The sequence below is a fragment of the Homo sapiens genome, chromosome 1 (genome assembly GCF_000001405.40).
Source record: "Homo sapiens chromosome 1, GRCh38.p14 Primary Assembly".
NCBI classification, from domain to species: Eukaryota; Metazoa; Chordata; class Mammalia; order Primates; family Hominidae; genus Homo; species Homo sapiens.
Genome location: NC_000001.11, coordinates 84,324,895 through 84,346,565, shown reverse-complemented (window position 1 = coordinate 84,346,565; position 21,671 = coordinate 84,324,895). Strand labels below are relative to the sequence as shown.

Below are 21,671 nucleotides of genomic sequence, written 5' to 3'. Positions count from 1 at the left end.
AGTGTGACCAATTCCAGCTAAACAAAACAAAACCAAGATTTTGCATGTACATCATGATGAAGTCCAAAACAAAAAGATATTTCACATCTTGGGAATTGTGTGTTAACTGATAATCATTTGTTAGTGTCAGTAAAACTTTGACATTGATTGTGTCTTTATGTAAAATTAACCTTCAGGTTCCCGTTGGGCAATAAACAATGTTTACATACTTATTAAGTTCCAGCAAGTACTCATGCATGGAAGTAAAGTTCCGAGATGATAGGTTTAAATTTCCAATGAGGGCAAGAATCTAGATTTAAAAATAAATGAGTAGGATTCATAGATATTATAGCTCACTAGCTAAGCATGTGCTTTAGACTAAGACACTACTTTATTGCTTATTAGTGGGGCCTGGGGCACATTACTGAATTTTTCTAAGCCTCATTTTCTTATCTATGTGATGGGGGAAAGTAACTACTGTGTTTCACTGCTGCAAGTATTATTGAGGTAACTTTTGTGAAGTAGAATTCCTGACATGCACTGATCACTCAATAAATGCTAGTTATTGAAAAAAGCATATAAAAGCTGAGTATGGTGGTACATGCCTGTAGTCCCAGCTACTTGAGAGGCTGAGGTGGGAGGATTGCTTGAGCCCAGGAATTCAAGGCCAGCCTGGGCAACATAGTGAGACCCTATCTCTAAAAAATTTAAATTAAAAAATATGTATAAATTTTAAAAGCATATAAAGATCTCAACCCATTTACTTTTCACTCATTCTCTCTGCCAGCATTAATCTATACTAGGTAACTCTGAATTGAAGCTATTTGTGATATGGTCCATGGGAAATGTATAGGAAGAAAGAATAGGTGGGAACAGAAGTAGCAAAGAGAAAAGAGCCTAGGAAGAGACAAAGAGTAGCCATCAAGACAGGCAACTAGGCAATTGCAAGGTAGGGCAGGAAAAACACATTGAAGAGAAGTCAATGGAATTTATGAAGGTCGGGCTCTGCGCTGACTGGGAAGGCCATATTTGTGGTGGTGGCCTCTACTGTCCCAGATGGTGCATAAGGGAAAGAAGGCTCAATTTAGAATCAGAAGACTGGGGATGGATGCTCTGCCTGCTACTTACTAGGTTCTTACACAACATCTGGCACATTCCCCTCCTCTGTGAAATGAGAGGTTTGAACTAAGCTGACCTCTGTCCATCCTAGTTCAAAACATTCTCAAACACCAATTCAGTCTTTCATAAGCATCAGAACACCCCAGCCTCATATGAAAATCTCCCTGTTAAAGAACACAGCAGCAACTTCTTACCAATGATGTGGAGGAATCTCATGAAACAGTCTTTTTCTGCTTCATTCTTCCCCCTCACATCTTCTAGCACTTTCTTTGTAACAACTCTCTTGCCATTTACTGTCTGGCTACAAATGGTGACCAGTCTGAAGTTTCTCAGTCTGCTGCTTACAAAGGGTTCAAATGTCTCAGAGGTAGAGGTACTTGCTCTGGAGCCCAGAGATAAAAAAGTGGAAAATCCTGTGTCCAATATGGGAGCCACATCAAAGATGGAGGAGTGGAATCTCCTGGCTTTACCCACAAGGCCAAGGGAAAAATCATCACCTGAGAATCCTGAGAATGCATAGTTCCTCCTCCAAATGTTTTTTGTCTCTGCCATCTCCTCTGTTTCCCTTTTGGTTCGGTTCCTTCTGGACTTGTCATACTCATTTCATTTCCTGGCATCAGACAAGACCTCATAGGCCTCTTGCTACTTGTTTGAATTTCTCCTCAGATGCCTCTTTGTTCCCTGGGTTCTTGTCTGGGTGTACCTGCAGAGCCAACTGGTGATAAGCCTTCTTAATATCAGGGGAGGAAGCATTTTGAGGCACACCTAGTACTTTGTAGTAATTCACCATGTTTCTTTAAACAGCCTTTCCCCACCAAGACAGGGTTTATTTTTGGAAGAATTTCCATATAAGGTTGGAAAGGAAGATGGTGAACTATTCAAGTTTACACCAAGCCCTTTTGAATACTATCACAAGGCTCTTGGGATGAAGTATCTTCTGGAGAGAAGTTCCTCTTTGTTGTATGGATCCTTCACATGCCTCCACTCCCGCCCACCTTCTGTCAGCAGCTCCTTGTGGGTGGAGTGACTATGAGCTCAACATTCTCAGCCAATGACTCTCAGCTGATGGCTGTGCTTGCCTTGCCTTCCTATTGGTGGGAAATTTAGAGTGGATAATATACACTGTGGGGAGGCTTCACCTTATTTAAAAATCAACACTGAGCAGCTTATTCAGAGAGAAGCTGTTTGTGTGGCTCAAAAGTATTTCATTTGTTGAAGTAACAGTCACAAGCAAAATGGCTTTTGCACTTAAATCGGACACAAAATCCATTTTGGCTCACTGTAAGGGCTAATGCTTTCAGTGACTTCATGAGTATTTCCTAGTGCTATTTAATATTTTCTGCTGGCACAAGGTAGGTGATAAAGGGTCTGTATTACAAAAAAAAAAAAGCCAAAAAAACAAAAAACAAAAACCTGAAACACATTTCTGATGAAGGAAAATACATAAGGCCCATTTTATCAAATGAGAAAACTGGGTCATAGAGATGAAACTAGGCAGGCTTTTCAAAATAGTAGATTTACAAAATATAACTAGAATTGAAGACCTCCCATATATTGTCAAATAAGTCTTCTTCAGCTGATTAAAAATTTTTTTTAATTTAAATTTAAATTTTATTTTAAGTACATGTGCAGGATGTGCAGGTTTGTTACATAGGTAAATGTGTGCCATGGTGGTTTGTTGCACTATCAACCTATCACCTAGGTATTAAGCCCAGCATGCATTAGCTATTTTTCCTAATGCTCTCCTTCTCCCCAACCCACCCCTGACAGGCCCCAGTGTGTGTTGTTCCCCTCCCTGTGTCGATGTGTTCTCATTCTTCAGCTCCCACTTACAAGTAAGAACATGCAGTGTTTGGTTTTCTGTTCTTGCATTAGTTTGCTGAGGATAATGGCTTCCAGCTCCATCCATGTCCCTGCAAATGACATGGTCTCATTCCTTTTCAGGGCTTCACAGCATTCCATGGTGTCTATGTACCACGTTTTCTTTATCCAGTCTATCATTGATGGGCATTTGGGTTAATTCCATGTCTTTGCTATTGTGAATAGTGCTGCAATGAACAGACATGTGCATGTATCTTCATGATAGAATGATTTATATTCCTTTGGGTATATACCCAGTAATGGGACTGCTGAATCAAATGGTATTCCTGATTCTAGATCTTTGAGGAATTGCCACACTGTCTTCCAAAATGGTTGAACTAATTTACATTCACACCAACAGTGTAAAAGCATTCCTATTTCTCCACAACCTTGCCAGCATCTGTTGTTTCTTGACTGTTTAATAATTGCCATTCTGACTGGTGTAAGATGGTATCTCATTGTGGTTTTGATTTGCATTTACCTAATAATCTGTGATGTTGAGTTTTTTTCATGTTTCTTGGCTGCACTAATGTCTTCTTCTGAGAAGTGTTTTTTCATGTCCTTTGCCCAGTTTTTAATGGGGTTGTTTGTTTTTTTCTTGTAAATTTGTTTAAATTCCTTGTAGATTCTGGATATTAGACCTTTGTCAGATGGAGAGATTGCAAAATTTTTCTCCCACGCTATAGGTTACCTGTTCACTCTGATGATAGTTTCTTTTGCGGTACAGAAGCTCTTTTGTTTAATTAGATCCCATTTGTCAATTTTTGCTTTTGTTGCAATTGCTTTTGATGTTTTCGTCATGAAATCTTTGTCCATGCCTATGTCCTGAATAGTATTGCCTAGATTTTCTTCTAGGGTTTTTATAGTTTGGGGTTTTACATTTAAGGTTTTAATCCATCTTGAGTTAATTTTGTATAAGGTGTAAGGAAGGGGTCTAGTTTCAGTTTTCTGCATGTGGCTAGCCAGTTCTCCCAGCACCATTTATTAAATAGAGAATCTTTTCCCCATTGCTTGTTTTTGTCAGGTTTGTCAAAGATCAGATGATTGTAGATGTGTGGTCTTATTTCTGAGTTCTCCATTCTGTTCTATTGGTCTAGGTGTCTGTTTTTATACCAATACCATGCTGTTTTGGTTACTGTGGCCTTACAGTATAGTTTTAAGTCTGGTAGCATGATGCCTCCAACTTTGTTCTTTTTGCTTAGGATTGTTTTGGCTATATGAGCTTTTTTTGATGTTGTTCTTCCATCTGAATTTTAAAATAGTTTCTTGTAATTCTGTGAAGGGTCTTTCAATGTTAGCCTTTTCAAAATTTATCTTTGGACTTAAGAACTAAACTAAGCAGCAGCATCAAAACAACAAATGCTTTTAAAAAGGGAGGTGCTGGTTGCTCTTTTTGCAGGATACGCAACTACAGATTTCCCAGGCTTCTTTGAAACTTAGTGTGGCCATGTGACTAAGCTCTGGCCAATGAGATGGGAAGGGATGATGCATGCGTCTCTCAGGCCCATAAAACTACCTGCACAGTCTTCTTATTCTTTTTCCTTATGCTAACTTATGTCAATGCCCAGATTATCTTGAAAGCTATTTAACTGATAACAAGGCCTCCTTCACCTGGGTCTTTGAATGACAGTGAAGCAGAAAATCCCCACCAGCTACCTTGGACTATCTGTATGAGCAAGAAATAAAATTCTACTATAATTAAGCCATTATATACTACTGGTAATATCTGTTGGTCTACTTTAATACACCAACCATTTCTACAATTTCCCCTTCCTTTTACAACCTCTTCTTATCATGTCATCAACCAAAAGAGTCCTATCTCTGCAACACTGAAAGCCCAATATCCTGATCTGTCTCTCACTCCTCATTCTCATTAAACCCATTTTTTTTATGTCAACTCCACTTTCTCCAGGGTTATCAGTCCCTTTCTGACTCCTCTTTCATACCAAGTCTGAACCCAATGATTGACCAGGGAGCTATTCTTTTATTAGCCCTCTATAAAGTAGCCCTCTTAAGCCATTAGCTTTTTGCAGTGTCCATCCCACAAACCCCCCATCCAGGATGAGTCCAGCAATCCAGCTTCTCTAACTCCTCTACCTAGTGCAGCTGGGGAAAAAAATCAAGGAACCATGAAGATGAAACACATCACATTTGCAGTGTACCAATCTCAGCTGGCCAGTAGAATACCTCAACTGTTCTTTTGTTATCCTTGGTCATTGCCCTCTCCCATTCCCCTTGGTGGCCATTCTTAACCTTCACTGCTGTCCTCCAGTTCCTTATTAAATCTCTACCAATCCCCATCTACCCCAAGCAGAGGAGCTTGACTCTTGTTTAGCAAAGGAAATAGAGGCTGTAAGGAACTCCCTTAATGTCCATGAAGACAAAGTGTATTAGTTAGGGTTCTCCAGAGAAACAGAACCAATGAGATACTGGTTAGATATGACCAACCTGCATGCTGGGAAAACAGGAAAGCTAGTGGTATAATTCAGTCCAAGTCTGAAAGACTGAGAATGGGAGGGTGAGGTGGGGCTGATGATATAAGTCCAGTCAGAGTCTGAAGGCCTGAGAACCAGAAGCTCTGATTTCCAAGGGCAGGAGATGATGGCTGTCTCAGGTCAAACAGAGTGATTTACCGTTTCTCCATATTTTTGTTCTATTAGGGCCATCATGGGATGAGGTGATGTTCACCCACATCAGTTAGGGCCATCTTCTTTATCCAGCCTACTGATTCAAATACTACTCTCCTTCACCAACACTCCCACAGACACCCCCAGAAATAATGCTTTACCAGCCATCTGGGCATCTCTTAGCCCAGTCAAGATGATACATTAACCATCACATAAGGACAATCTTATTTATATCTGTACACAACTTCACCTATGCTCCCAACTCAGAGGAAGAGAACCCTGTCTTGCTTGGTGCTAATTACTTAATATTTTTTAAAATAAAATACTTGAATATTTTATTTACCAAATTGAATCATGACATATATTATGGCTGGCATTACATTTTAAAAACTTTATTGGGATAAAATTCATATAACATGAAATATGCCATTTTGACCATTTTTAAGTATATGGTCACATTGATTACATTTATAGTGTTATGCAATTATTGCCACTATCTATTTTAAAAACACTTCCACCATCTCAAAAAGAAATTATCCACACATTACTTAATAACTCCCTACTCCCCCAAACCTCTGGTAACTTTTAATCTATGTTGTATCTCTATGAATTTGCCTATTTTAGATATTTCATGTAAGTGGAATTATGCAATATTTGTCTGGCTTATTTCATTTAACATGTTTTCAATGTTTATCCATGTCGTAGCACATATCAGAACTTCATTCCTTTTTATGGTTGAATAATATTCCATTATATGTATACAGCACATTTTAAAAATCAATTCATCTGTTCATGGACACTCGGGATATTTCCACCTTTGGTTATTGTGAACAATGCTGTAATAACCACAGCACAAGTACAAGTATCTGTTTAATTCCCTCTTTTCAATTCTTTTGGGTGGAATTGCTGGGTCCTACAGTAAAGCTATGCTTAAGTTTTTGAGAATCTACCAAATTATTTTCCACAACAGATGCACCATTTTATAGTTCTACCAGCAATGTACAAAGAAATTTCTCCACATCCTTGCTCCTCCGTATTCTTTTGATCTCATCCCTTTCTATAACCTCAGGGAGTTTGCTTCACTTAACTTTCCTCAATTTATTTCAATTTTAATCTATCCAATTCTTTTAGCTACTTTCCTGGATGTGAGTAAGTCTGGATGTCTCCTCTCTTAGAAGAGAACTCTCTTGCCTACATGACTCTCCAGTTGCTGCTTCTCCCTTACTGGCCTGCCTCCCACTCACTCCTCAACTTGGAGAGAAAGTTCCTCCCCAGCTGATGTGTGTGCACCCTGACATGCTGCTGTGGCTGCTGGCATGCATGAGCAAGCACAGATCCCGTTGCCACTGCCCCAGTGAAACTCTGTGGCCAGCAACCCCCATTGGAGTGTTGTGGCCAGCAGACAGGGAATACCTCGACCCCTCCAGTAAAGCAGGTTGCTAACCACAAGGGGCCAGAGAACAAAGCTGTGGCCCGGTACCAACCCCCTAGAGTTACAGCATGCAGCCCAGAAGTGCCAAGCTGAGCCTTGTCCCCCTAAAATCTTGCAGAAATGAAGCCAATCACCTTATACCACAATCAAAGCCTGAAGGGCATTAAAGAAGATAAAGGCAAAAAAAACACATCCAAAGGACAGCAATTTCAAAGACTGAAGAAGAATGAGCCCACAGAGATGAAAAAATAAAAAAATAAAAAACACAAAAAACAAAAAACAAAACAAAACAAAAAAACCTAGTGCAATAACTCTGGCAACTCAAAAAGTCAGAGTGTCTTCTTATCTCCAAATGACTGTACTAGTTCCCCAATAATTGTTCTTAACCAGACTGAAATGGCTGAAATGACAGACATATAAGTCAGAATATAGATAGGCATGAAGATCATTGAGGTTCAAGAGAAAGTTAAAGCAAAATCCAAGGAATCTAAGGTATATATGGGAGCTGAAAGATGAAATGGTCATTTTAAGAAGAATCAAACTGATCTGGCAGAGCTGAAAAACTTACTTCAAGAGTTTCATAATACAATCTCAGCAGAATAGATCAAGCTGAGGAAAGATTCTCAGAGCTTGAAGACTGGCTGATATGGTTTGGCTGTGATCCCACCCAGATCTCGTCTTGAATTCCCACATGTTGTGGGAGGGGCCCAGTGGGAGGTAATCTAATCATGGGGGCAGGTCTTTCCCATGCTGTTCTCAGGATAGTGAATAAGTCTCAGGAGATCTAATGGTTTTAAAAAGAGGAGTTCCCAGCCGGGCACGGTGACTCATGCCTGTAATCCCAGCACTTTGGGAGGCCGAGGCAGGTGGCTCACCTGAGGTCAGGAGTTTGAGACCAGCCTGGCTAATGTGGTGAAACCCTGTCTCTACTAAAAATACAAAAATTAGCTGGGTATGATGGAAGGCACATGTAATCCTAGTTACTGAGGAAGCTGAGGCAGGGGAATCACTTGAACCCGGGAGGCAGAGGTTGGAGTGAGCTGAGAGCACGCCATTGCACTCCAGCCTGGGTGACAGAGTGAGACTCCATCTTAAAAAAAAAAAAAAAAAAAAAAAGAGAGATGAGTTCCCCTGTACCAGCTCTCTCTCTTTTTGCCTGCTGCCATCCACATAAGATGTGACTTGCTCCTCCTTGCCTTCCTCCATGGTTGTGAGGCCTCCCCAGCCATGTGGAACTGTAAGTCCAATTAAACCTCTTTTCTTTGGTACATTGCCCAGTCTTGGATATGTCTTTATCAGCAGTGTGAAATAGACTACTACAGTAAGTTGGTACCAGTAGAGTGGGGCATTGCTGAAAAGATACACAAAAATGTGGAAGTGACTTTGAAACTGGGTAACAGGCAGAGGTTGGAGGGCTCAGAAGAAGACAGGAAAATGTGGGAAAGTTTGAAACTTCCTAGAGACTTGTTGAATGACTTTGACAAAAATGCTGATAGTGATATGAACAATAAGGTATAGGCTGAGGTGGTCTCAGATGGAGATGAGGAACTTGTTGGGAACTAGAGCAAAGGTGACTCTTGTTATATTTTAGCAAAGAGACTGGTGGCATTTTGCCCCTGCCCTAGAGATTTGTGGAACTTTGAACTTGAGAGAGATGATTTAGGGTATCTGGTAAAAGAAATTTCTAAGTAGCAAAGCCTTCAAGAGGTGATTTGGGTGTTGTTAAAGGCATTCAGTTTTATAAGGGAAACAGAGCAAAAAAGTTCAGAAAATTTGCACCCTGACAATGTGATAGAAATGAAAATCCCATTTTCTGAGGACAGACTCAAGCCAGTTGCAGAAATCTGCATAAGTAATGAACAGCCAAATGTTAATCCCTAAGACAATGGGGAAAATGTCTCCAGGGCATGTCAGAGGTCTTCATGGCAGCTCCTGCCATCACAGGAGGGCCTAGGAGGAAAAGATGGTTTTGTGGGCCAGACCCAGGGTCCTCATGCTATGTGCAGCATAGGGACTGGTGCCCTGTGTCCCAGCCACTCCAGCCATGGCTGAAAGGGACCAATGTAGAGCTTGGGTCGTGGCTTCAGAGGGTGCAAGCCTCAAGCTTTGGCAGCTTCCATGTGGTGTTGAACCTGCGAGTGCAGAGAAGTCAAGAATTGAGGTTTGGGAATCTCTGCCTAGATTTCAGAAGATGTATGGAAATGCCTGGATGTCCAGGCAGAAGTTTGCTGCAAGGGTGGGGCTTTCATGGAGAATCTCTGCTAGGGCAGTGTGGAGGGAAATGTGGGGTGGGAGCTCCCATATAGAGTCCCTACTGAGGCACCACCTAGTGGAGCTGAGAGAAGAGGGCCACCATCCTCCAGACCCCAGAATGGTAGATCCACTGACAGCTTGCACCGTGCACCCAGAAAAGCCGCAGACACTCAATACCAGCCCATGAAAGCAGCCAGGAGGGAGGCTGTACCCTGCATAGCCACAGGGGCAGAGCTGTCCAAGACCATGGGAACCCACTTCTTGCATCAGCATGACCTGGATTTGAGACATGGAGTCAAAGGAGATCATTTTGGAGCTTAAAGATTTGACTGCCCTGCTGGATTTTGAACTTGCTTGGGGGCCTGTAGCCCCTTTGTTTTGGCCAATTTCTCCCATTTGGAATGGCTGTATTTACATAATGCCTGTACCCCCACTGTATCTAGGAAGTAACTAACTGCTTTTGATTTTACAGGCGCATAGGTAGAAGAGACTTGCCTTGTCTTGGATGAGACTTTGGACTGTGGACTTTTGAGTTAATGCTGAAATGAGTTAAGACTTTGGGGTACTGTTGGGAAGGCATGAATGGTTTTGAAATGTGAGGATGTGAGATTTGGGAGGGGCCAGGGGTGCAGTGATATGGTTTGGCTGTGTCCCCACCCAAATCTCATCTTGAATTCCCACATGTTGTTGGAGGGACCCGGTGGGAGGTAATTGAATCATGAGGGCAGGTCTTTATCATGCTCTTCTCATGATAGTGAATAAGTCTCAGGAGATCTGATGGTTTTAAAAAGAGGAGTTCCCCTCAAAAGCTCTCTCTCTTTTTGCCTGCTGCCATCCACATAAGATGTGACTTGCTCCTGGTTGCCTTCTGCCATGATTGTGAGGCCTCCCTCCCCAGCCATGTGGGACTGTAAGTCCAGTTAAACCTTTTCTTTTGTAAACTGCCCAGTCTTAGCAATTTACATGTCTTTATCAGCAGCGTGAAAATGGACCAATACACTGGCTCTCTCAAATAACTCAGTCAGACAAAAATAAAGAAAAAAATTTAAAAAGAATGAACAAAACTGTTAAGAAATATGGGATTATGTAAAGAGACCAAATCTACAACTCACTGGTGTCCCTGAAAGAGAGGGCAAGAAAGCAAGCAACTTCGAAAATACATTTGAGGATATTGTCCGTGAAAGTTTCCCCAACCTTGCTAGAGAGGGCAACAGTGAAATTCAGGACATGCAGACAGCCCTTGTGAGATACTATACAAAATGACCATCCCCTAGACACATAGTCATCAGATTCACCAAGGTTGAAATGAAATTAAAAATGTAAAAGGCAGATAAAGACAAGGGGCAAGTCACCTACAAATGGAACCCCATCAGGCTAACAGCAGACTTTTCAGCAGAAACCCTGCAAGCCAGAAGATATTGGGGGCCTACACTCAGCATTCTTAAAGAAAAGAAATTACAACTAAGAATTTCATATCCAGCCAAACTAAGTTTCCTAAGTGAAGGAGAAATAAGATCCTTTTCAGACAAGCAAATGCTAAGGGAATTAGTTACCACTAGACCTGCCTTTCGAGAAGTCCTTAAGGGAGTGCTAAATAAGGAGAGGAAAGGCCATTACTGACTGCCACAAAAACACACTTAAGTACATAGACCCACTGACACTATAAGTCAACTACACAATCAAGTCTGCCTAATAACCCCCTAACAATACAATGACAGAATCAAATCCATACATATCAATAGTAACCTTGAATGGAAACAGAGTAAATGTCTCAATTAAAAGTCACAGAGTGGCAAGTTGGATAAAGAAGCAAGACCCAACTGTATGCTGCCCTCAAGAGGCCCATCTTACATGTAATGACACGCACAGGCTCAAAGTAAAGGGATGATGAAAAATCAACCTAACAAATGGAAAACAGAAAAAAAGCAGGGTTTGCTATTCTAATTTCAGACAAAACAGACTTTAAACCAACAACGATTTTAAAAAAAAGACAAGTGCATTACACAATGGTAAAGGGCTCAATTCAACAAGAAGATGTAACTATCCTAAGTATATATGCACCCAAAACAGGAGCACCCAGATTCATAAGATGAGTTCTTAGAGACCTAAGAAGTGACTTAGATGACTACAAAATAATAGTGGGAGACTTCAACATCCTACTACCAGTTTAGACAGACCATCAAGGCAGACAACTAAGATATTCGGGACTTGAACTTAACACTTGACTAAATGGATCTAAAAGACATCTACAGAACTCTCCACCTCTAAGATGGCAGAATATATATTCTTCTCATCTGCACATGCGATATACTCTAAAATCGACCACACAATTAGCATAAAACAATTCTCAGAAAATTAAAAAAAAGGGAAATTATACCAACTGTACTCTCAAACCACAGCACAATAAAAATATATATCAGTAAGAGGAAGGTCACTCAAAACTGTACAGGAAATTAACCTGCTCCTGAATGAGTTTTGGGTAAACAAAGAGATTAAAGGAGAAATCAAGAAATTATGTGAAACTACTGAGAACAAAAATACAACATACCAGAATCTCTGGGACACAGCTAAAGCAGTGTTAAGAGGAAAGTTTATACTGCTAAGTGCCCACATCAAAAAGTTATAAAGATCTCAAATTAACCAACCTAACATTACACATAGAGGAACTAGAAAAACAAGAGCAAACCAACCCCAAGGCTACCAGAAGACAAGAAATAACTAAAATCTGAGCTGAACCGAATGAAACTGAGACATGAAAAACCATATAAAAGATGAACAAATCGAGGGGTTGGTCCTTTGAAAGAATAAATGACATATATAGACCATTAGCTAGACTAATAAAGAAGAAAGGAATGAATATCCAAATAAATACGATCAGAAATGACAAAGGGGACATTACCATCAACCCCATAGAAATATTTTTTAAAAAACCCTCAGAGACTATTACAAACACCTGTATGCATACAAACTAGAAAACCTAGTTGAAATGGATAAATTCCTGGAAACACAGCCTCCCAAGATTGAACAAGGAAGAAACTGAAGCCCTAAACAAACCAATAATGAGTTCTGAAATTGAATCAGGAATAAAAAGCCTACCAACCAGAAGCAGCCCAGGACCAGATGGATTTACAGCTGAATTCTACCAGATTTATAAAGAAGAGCTGGTACCATTCCTACTGAAACTATTCCCAAAAATTTAGGAGGAGGGACTCCTCCTTAACTCATTCTATGAGGCCAAAATCATTTTGATACCAGAACCTGGCAGAGATACAACAAAAAAAGAAAACTTCAGGCCAATATCCTTGATGAACATTGATGCAAAAATCCTCAACAAAATACTAGCAAACTGAATCCAGCAGCATATCAAAAAGCTAATCTCCCACAATCAAGTAGGCTTTATCCCCGGGAAGCAAGGTTGGTTCAACATATGCAGATCAATATATGTGATTCATCACATAAACGGACCCAAAACCCCAAGCCACAAGGTCATCTCAATAGATGCAGAGAAGGCTTTCAATAAAATTCAACATCCCTTCATGTTAAAAATCCTTAACAAACTAGGCATCAAAGTTAAATACCTCAAAATAATAAGAATCCAAATAAGAAGAAAGGAACTCAAACTATTCTTGTTTGCAGATGATATGATTCTATACCTAGAAAACCCCATAGTCTCTGACCAGAAGCTGCCTTGAGCTGATAAACAACTTCAACAAAGTTTCAGTATACAAAATCAATGTGCAAAAATCAGTAGCATTCCTAACAACACCCATACACTGATAGCACCTAAGCTGACAGCCAAATCAGGAATGCAATCCCATTCACAATTGCCACAAAAAGAATAAAATACCTAGAGATACAGCTAACCGGGGAGGTGAAAGATCTTTACAATGAGAACTACAAAACACTACTGAAAGAAATCAGAGATGACACAAACAAATGGAACAACATTCCATGCTCTTGGATAAAAATAATCGATATCATTAAAATGGCCATACTGCCCAAAACAATTTACAGATTCAATGCTATTTCTATAAAACCACCAATGACATTCTTCACAGAACTGGAGAAAACTATTCTAACATTCATATGGAACCAAAAAAGAGCCCAAACAGCGAAGGGAATCCTAAGCAAAAAGAAGCTGGAGGAATCACATTGCCTGACTTCAAACTGCACTACAAGGCTACAGTAACCAAAATAGCATGGTACACATAGACCAATGTAACAGACTAGAGAGTACAGAAATAAAGCTGTACATCTATAACCATCTGAGCTTTGACAAAGTTGACAAAAACAAGTGATGGGGAAAGGACTTCCTATTCAACAAATGGTGCTGGGAGAACTGGCTAGCCATATGCAGAAGATTGAAACTGGACCCATTACTTACACCATATATAAAAATCAATTCAAGATAGTTTAGAGACTTAAATGTAAAGCCTAAAAGTATAAAAATCCTGGAAGATAAACTAGGAAATACCATTCTGGACATACGCCCTGGCAAAGATTTCATGATAAAGACGCCAAAAGCAATTGCAACAAAAACAAAAATTGACAGATAGGACCTAATTAAACTAAAGAGTTTCTGCATAGCAAAATAACTATCAACAGGGCAAACAAACAACCTACAAAATGGGAGAAAATATTTGTAAACTATGAGTCCAACAAAGGTTTAATATTCAGAATCTATAAGAAACTTAAATCAACAAGCAAGAAAACAAACAACCCATTACATATTGGGCAAAGGACATGAACAGACACGTCACAAAAGAAGTCATAAATATGTCTAATAAGCATATGAAAAAATGCTCAACATCGTTGATCATTAGAGAAATGCAAATCAAAACAACGAGACACCATCTTGCACTAGTTAGAATGGCTTTTATTAAAAAATAATAAAAACAGATGCTGGTGAGGTTGCTTAGAAAAGGGAATACTTATACAGCAGTAGTGGTGGGAATGTAAATTAGTTCAGCCATTGTGGAGAGAAGTTTGGTGATTTCTCAAAGAACTTAATACAGAACTACCATTCAACCTGGCAATCCCATTACTGGGTATATTCCCAAAAGAATGTAAGTTGTTCTACCATAAAGACACATGCACCTGTATGTTCACTGCAGTACTATTTGCAATAGGAAAGATATGAAATCAACCTAAGTGCCTATCAACAGTAGACTGGATAAAGAAAATATGGCACATATACACCATGGAATACTACATAGCCATTAAAAAAGAATAAGATCATGTCCTGTGCAGCAACATGGATGGAGCTGGAGGTCATTATCCTATGCGAACTAATGCAGGAACAGAAAACCAAATACCTTATGTTCTCATAAGTGGGAGCTAATCATTGAGCACATACGGACATGAAGAAAGGAACAATAGACACTGGGGCCTACTTGAGGGTGGAGGGTGGGAGGAGGGTAGACTGAAAAACTGCCTATTGGATACTATGCTTATTACTTGGGTGATGAAATAATCTGTACCTCAAACCCCCGTGACACACAATTTACCTATATAACAAACCTGCACCTGTACCCATGAATCTAAAATAAAAGTTTAAAAACTTCAACAAGTTTTTTCCTTATCAGTTTTCAATTTTCTTGGCTGCTTTCTTATTGCTAGCATTACCCACTTATTTGAGATTTCACCTCTTTTCTAAATTTTCATGGGTTGAAAGGACACATCAGCAGAGATTGAGTTGCCACTTCCCCTGTTCATTATGCTACAAAATATTTTAAGCATTTCAGTAACCTTCAATTGTTAAAAATTATCAGGCATCAAAGCACCTCAAATATTTTCAATACTTGGTATTATTAGATGCTGATGAAGTAAATCAAGTTATTCTCAATTTGTGAGGTTTTAATTGGTCTAATTCAAAGCCAGATTTGCCATGAAAGCTAATGATGTTTAAGTTTCACCTTAACAAGTTTGTATCCATAATTTTTTTTTTTTTTTTTTTTTTTTTTTTTTACCAAGGAGGGCTGTTAGAATTGCATAAACTTTAGGCTCCACAGAACCTGGATTTGTCCCTGTTCTAATTAGAAATCTCCATCTAGAATCACTACAAGTGAATTCGATTTGGCCGTGATTAGAACACTATGCTCAGGGTTGCTCTGATTGGCATCCCCACCCTACAATTCCATTTTGAGGTAGTTAGTATTACTTGGCAATATGTAGCCATAAGAAATTTTATTTATTTTTTATTAAGCCAGTGACTTCAGAAACTTATCCAAAGTTAGCAATAAGTCATCTGTAAAGAGATGTCAATCTTTGCATTTCAAATGAATGACTTAAGCAACCAGTTGGGCATTTCAGAGTAAAGATACTATTCTTATTCATGTGGTTTGAGAAAAATGAAGAGATAAGAGAGTAAAATTAATTTGTCACCTTGAGTTGCATATTATTTTGTCATGATTATCTCAGAGATACATATTGTTCTAGAAATAAAACCATGAATGTTGCTTGTAAGTTTGAGAAATCTGAAAAATATGAACTATATGACATTGATTGAATGGCAGATCTGTCTTCCATCTTCTTCTTATATATTCTAAGTATGTGAGTCAAACAGACAAAGACATAGAAATGAAGTGACTACACCACAACAGGCAGAGCTGTCTTTGTGACTTGCAATTAGGGTCCAATTTGAGTGGTGAAGTTACTGTACTAGATTGCCACAGTTCCTTAAATGGCAACTAAAAGCACTGCCCACAGTTGGCTTTACAACAGAGAATGCTGCTCATTTAGCCTTCAGAGTCTGACAAAGCAAACTTTATCCTAAATGTTCTCTGTGAGGAAGGGAAGGATGCTTTTGAACAAGATTAGTCAAAATAGTGTCTTAAAAACCAAAGCTCTTAGCAAAGTAAAATTCTTGAGGTACCTTTGACTCTTGAAAGCTAAGCAGGCCATACCCATGGACAAGTGCCATTAAAAACAAAATATCTATTCACAAAAGTTCAACTGCGTCTCAAGTGGTTTTGTGCCGTGTTGTGCACTGAAAGCATACTTCTTGAGGACCAGTTTTAAGATTACATATTTTGACTCTTAAAGCAGGAGCTTGAGCAGTATTCTGTTTGTTTAACTCAGTATTAACTTTATAGAAATCTGAGTCCTAGAAAGGCAAATTCTCCAGGACCATCCACTAACCATGAGAAAACTGGAAGAAAACATATCAGAAGTCATGACTTTCACTCATTCCCTTCACCACAGCCTAAAATGTTTGTCTGCTAGAAGGTGCTTGGGAAAATAGCCCCCACACCACAGTGTCTGTGGGAAAGAGAGGTGGTACTGACAAGGCTGTAATCACTACCTTCTCCAGGGCTCCCACTGCCTCCTGCTCTCATAGGCCAGTGAACCCTTTGGATTGCTAGCTGAATGAGTGCAGTACGCCAGACTCCCTACATGGTGAGCAACTGCAACCCTGATGACACAGACCACATGCCAACCCAAGGAGTAGCGACATCACTGTCCAAAACATACGTGCTATTGACACTGGGTTATTTGTGATGGGCTAGGCAGGGACTTAGGCCTTCATTCTTGATGATTCTTTTGACTTGTAATTGCTACTAACACAGAAGACTCAAAAGAGGATTGCCAGAAGAGAATTTGATGAAGATAATTGCAGCAGATGAAAACTTAATGGAGATCATTGTTCTGTGGCAGTGGGGTGCCTGCACAGGGAAAAGGAGGTTAGGCAAACACCACCACCTTAATCCAGCTGCTTCTCCATACCACAGGAACACAGGACAAATCTTGCCCTCTGATAAATCTTGCTCAATGGCCTGACATCTTCCAAGAGGTCACGCTGCTAGAAAGCCACATCCAAGTCTAGTTGCCACAGCCATACAGTTTCCAATACTGTGCTATGAGACCACACCACAAAGATAGATACTGTCCTGGAAGTCAGGCCATCTGATGGTGGACATGTTTGCCATCAATACCAGTATTTTAGTCAGTTCAGGCTGCTAGGACAAGATACCATAGATTGGGCAGCATAAACAACAGATATTTCTCACAGTTCTAGAAGCTGGAGGTCCAAGACCAGGGTGCCAGCATGGTTGGGTTCTTGGTGAGGGCTCTCCTGCTGGCTTGTAGAAGGCTGTCTTCTTGCTGTATCCTTACACCTGAGAGTAAGCTCTCTGGTGTCTTGTTCTCTTCTTATAAGAGCATTGATCTCATCATGGGGGTTCCATCCTCATGACCTCATCTAAACCTAATTACCTCCCAAAGATCCCACCTCCTAATATCCTCACTGTGGGTTAGGTTTTCAACATAAGAGTTTTGGGGGCACATAAACATTCAGCTCATAATAGCCATGAAACAATAAGCTCCCCACATCACTGGCAACCGTGCTGCCCTTTCTGGACTTGCCCTTTTCAAAAGTGGTTTAGGGGATGCTCTCCATCCCTGTCCTGCTTCTGTCAAGTGGAAGGGCAAAGCTTTCCTGAGGAGAGTTTAAGGAGGCAGTTGTTCTAATTGTTTCTCAGCGCTGTGACCTTGCATGTACCTGCATGTACCTTGGAAGGGCCATGTGCTTGGGCTGGAGAAGGCCTGCATTTTCTAATCAGGATGATGAGTGGGTGCTAACCAACTAGGTTCATTGCCAGGAAGACTCCAGAGGTAAAATGCTGATGCCCTCTGTAGTGTGATGATGGAAGAGGCAGGTTAACATGGTAGAGGATCCAATCCTCAGTCCTCATGAATATCACAGCAGCGACTTATCTTACCATCCTAAGCCTGGCCAGTGATTCCCTCCCTGCCCTCCAGTCCTTTAATGGGAAAAGGAGAAACGATATTTGAATCACTGCCAGAGACAAATTCAAGGCAGACTCTTCCCTGACCCAATCACCCTTCCATGAGAATGAAGAAACTCAAGCTTCTGGACCATGCTTGCAAAACTCTGATCCTTTGAGAATTCATTTCTCAGGCTTCCGAGTTGGCAGGTTGAACATAGTAGCAAGACGATGCTCACTTCTCCCTTGAAGGATTTCTGAATGAAATGCTTTAGAAGAGTTTATTCCCATTATGGTTCCCAGTGTCCATTGGGACAGAATGAGATCATCCATGGGAGAAAGTGCCTGCTCGTGGGCCAGGCTCAGAGCTGGCAGTCCCATTTCTGAGGTAAGTCACAGAACCTGGAAGGTCCAGAGACCATCGTGTGCCCCCAGTCTGGGATGTCTGCCTCCAAGGAGTCTGAGCAAAAGCTCAACCTGCAAAGGGCTTTTGGTCAGCTGGGAATCTGGCCAAGAGACCTTTTAGCTAAGTATTTTTTTGTTAACCATTTACAATATTATCTACATTTAATTTTAGAAGAGTGCTATTCAATTGCTGTGACACAAATGGACATTGTACCAGTGAAAAACAAAATAAAATATGTTCCAGCTGATCAGCGGCCTTCCACTTTCCAACCTGAGCAGTTTTTTCCATCACAATTCATAAAAGTTTTTCAAACATAAAGAAAACTCATCAGAGTTTTATAGTAAATACCCATATTCTGAACACCTAGATGCTACAATTAACATTTCCTGTACTTGCTTTACCACATATATGTCCACATAGTCACCCTTCTATTTAATTGCCAATGCATATGTTTGATGCATTTTAAATTGACTTGTATATATCAGTATACTTTACCCTAAACACTTCTGTTTTTATACCACTGTTTAGGTGTTTTTCATAGTTCTTTTCTTTTTGAAGTAAAATGTGTATGTTCTGTAATGCACAAACCTGAATCATTTGCATATGCCTGTGTATTAGCAAGCAGTGACCCATGCATACCTGTAACCCAAGCCTGTATCAAGATACAGAATGTTACCATCACCCAGAAATTTCCCTCATACTCCTTCCCAGTCGTTTTCCACCCCCACGCAGCCAGAGGCAACCCCTGTTCTGATTGTTTTTTTACCACTGATTGATTTTCCTGTTCTGAAACCTTATCTAAATGGAACCATTCAGTATGAACTCAGTTATGTAAGGTTTCTCTCAATCAGTAATATGTTTTTGAGACTCATGCAAATGGCTGCACATAACAGTAGTTCATTCCTTTTTATTACTGTGGAGTATTCCACTGTATGAATATATCACGGTTTGTGTATTCATTCTCCTATTGATGTACACCTAGGCTTCAAATTTTTGACCATTGTGATAAAGCTAGTAAGAACAATTTTGTACAAATCTTTTTACAGACATGTGTTTTCATTTCCCTTGGGTAAATACCCAGGAGTAAAACTGCTGCATCAAGGGGTAGATGTCTGAATGTTGATTTCACAGTCTCACCAACAACAAAAGAGTTCCAGTTGCTCCACATCCTCGTGAATGTTTAATATTATCAACCTTTCTCATTTTAGCTCTTCTGGTAGGTATGAAGAAATTTAAGCTGCTATTTTAGCAAGTTTTCCAAATTAGGAAAAAAATACTTATGTACAAAGATCAAGTCTGAAGTAAATATAGGTTGAAGGAAATCTAGAAATTGGCGTGTGCAATTTTAGAAAAGTTTACCTTATCCAAACTCAGGCCATACAGCTAATAGTTTGAGAGAATGAACAATGGCTGAAGGGATATGGAACAAGCAGCCAGACACATTTTTCAGTTTTTAATTCTCCCTACAATATTATGATATTAGAAAAGAAAATGTAATGCTTAGAAAACTGCAGCCTTCGTTGGTAGAGAAATAGGAACTCTGTGTTTACCCACAGAACTGGCCTGGTGTGAACCACACTGTGTTGCCCCCACTTGCCTCCTCAGGTCAAAGCCCCTTGAAGACCAACCCTGCAAACCTAGCACAGCCTGCAACATGGAGCTATGAATCACCTAGACAATTGGGATGGACTCCTGCCACTTTCTCCCTCTTTCTAATACCATCCCTGGACCTGAGGAAAAGGAAATCCCATTTTTTGAGTATCAACACTATGCCAGAACCTATCATAGGCACTGTGTGTATATTGTCCACTAATCCTCACAACAACATCCCTATAAAGTTATTGACAGTCTGATGTTATAGATATGAAACCAAGACTCAGAGAGACATAGTAACGTGCCTAGGGTCACATAGAGATAGAAGAACCAGGATTCGACTATCAATCCTGTGCTTTTTCCACTCTACCTTGCTAAGCACCCAGAAAGCAAACTGCAAAGGGCTTAATAGTCCATTGGGTGCTGAGGCCAGTAGTAGGAGGTGGTGTATGTCTCTCAGTCAGGTTTGTCCCTGCTTTTCCTTTCTTTTCTGTTTCCTGCTTTCTAGTGTGTTTTCATTGAAGGTAGGGCTGATTCACTCCACCCTTGAGTATGATCAGTCTTTCAGAGGACACAGATGTAAATGAGCTTTAGCCTTCTTCTCCACAGCTGCCACTGTCTCCGGCTTTGAGTTTTCCCCTTGCACAAAGGGATAATTCACCTGGTACATCCATTCTCCTTCCCCTCAGTTTCTCAGAGCCTCACTGATTCCTCCCTGCTCTTTGGTCCTCTTCCTCCTCACTCCCTTCTGCCCACTGTTGGGAAGGGAGGTAACTGTGGGTTCATCACATGTTCATCACGTGTTTCTCTAGACCAAGTTACCTGTTCCTGAAAAGCACTAGCTTGCTCCTCAAATCCCACGGTTCGGAAATAATTGACGACATCCATCACGGCCCAGTCTGCAGGATCAGGTGGTCTCCCATTTTCCATGGAACTGCAAAACACAAATCCAGACAGTTGTCATGGCAGTGCCTGCACAAGGGTGTGGCCAGGCTCACAAATGGGTCTTCTGGGACAGGCCTTTCATGTTTTTTGGGTTCAGATGATGATTACTCTCACTGGCTTAGTCACTGCTAATAAACCATTTGACATTTAATGTAAATTATTTCCTCTGGTTTTTAATCCAGAGACATTGAGAGTGGTCCAGTGACTGCTGGCAGCCCAGAGTATGATATTCATACTTCTGAGTTCAGAACACCTGGCCTTTTACGATATGACCTCAACATACCGCTCTCTCTTCCTGTCTTCCTAACACCTTCCCTAGCCCCATCCCCACACATCTAGGGATAAAGCCCTTCCACAATAGGCCAAGTCCTTTCATAGATCTGAGCCTCTGCACATTCTGTCCCAGCCACTTACAATGCCCCCACACCTGTCTCTATTGGACAAAACTCTACCATTTCTACCAATACAAAACTACCTCCTCTTTGAAGCATTTTTTCTGGCTCTTCCAAGGGTGTGTTTTAGTCATAACCTCCTTTGACTTCTAGAACTTCATTCAAACTCCCATTGTAGCACCTTCCACACTGAATTATACCCTCTGTTTATTGAACAGTCTCTCCCACTAGAGTGGGAGATGCAGGTTGGAGAAATGCATTTGAGCCCGGACCACTTCTCATTTTATTATTCCTAGTATCAAGTGTGTACTTAGGAACTTAACCCATATTGTTCAAATA

The 21,671-nt window shown here is 40.4% G+C and overlaps 1 protein-coding gene across 4 annotated transcripts in view; it reads right to left on the bottom strand.

Moving 5' to 3' along the window:
* Positions 1 to 21,671, bottom strand: part of SAMD13 (sterile alpha motif domain containing 13) — a 52,261-nt gene that overhangs the window by 4,233 nt on the left and 26,357 nt on the right. For all 4 annotated transcript variants that reach the window (XM_017000377.3, NM_001010971.3, NM_001134663.2 and 1 more), the window contains exon 3: positions 20,818 to 20,929. In XM_017000377.3, coding sequence (XP_016855866.1) covers positions 20,818 to 20,929 — 112 coding nt within the window. The remainder of the gene's footprint in view (positions 1 to 20,817; positions 20,930 to 21,671) is intronic.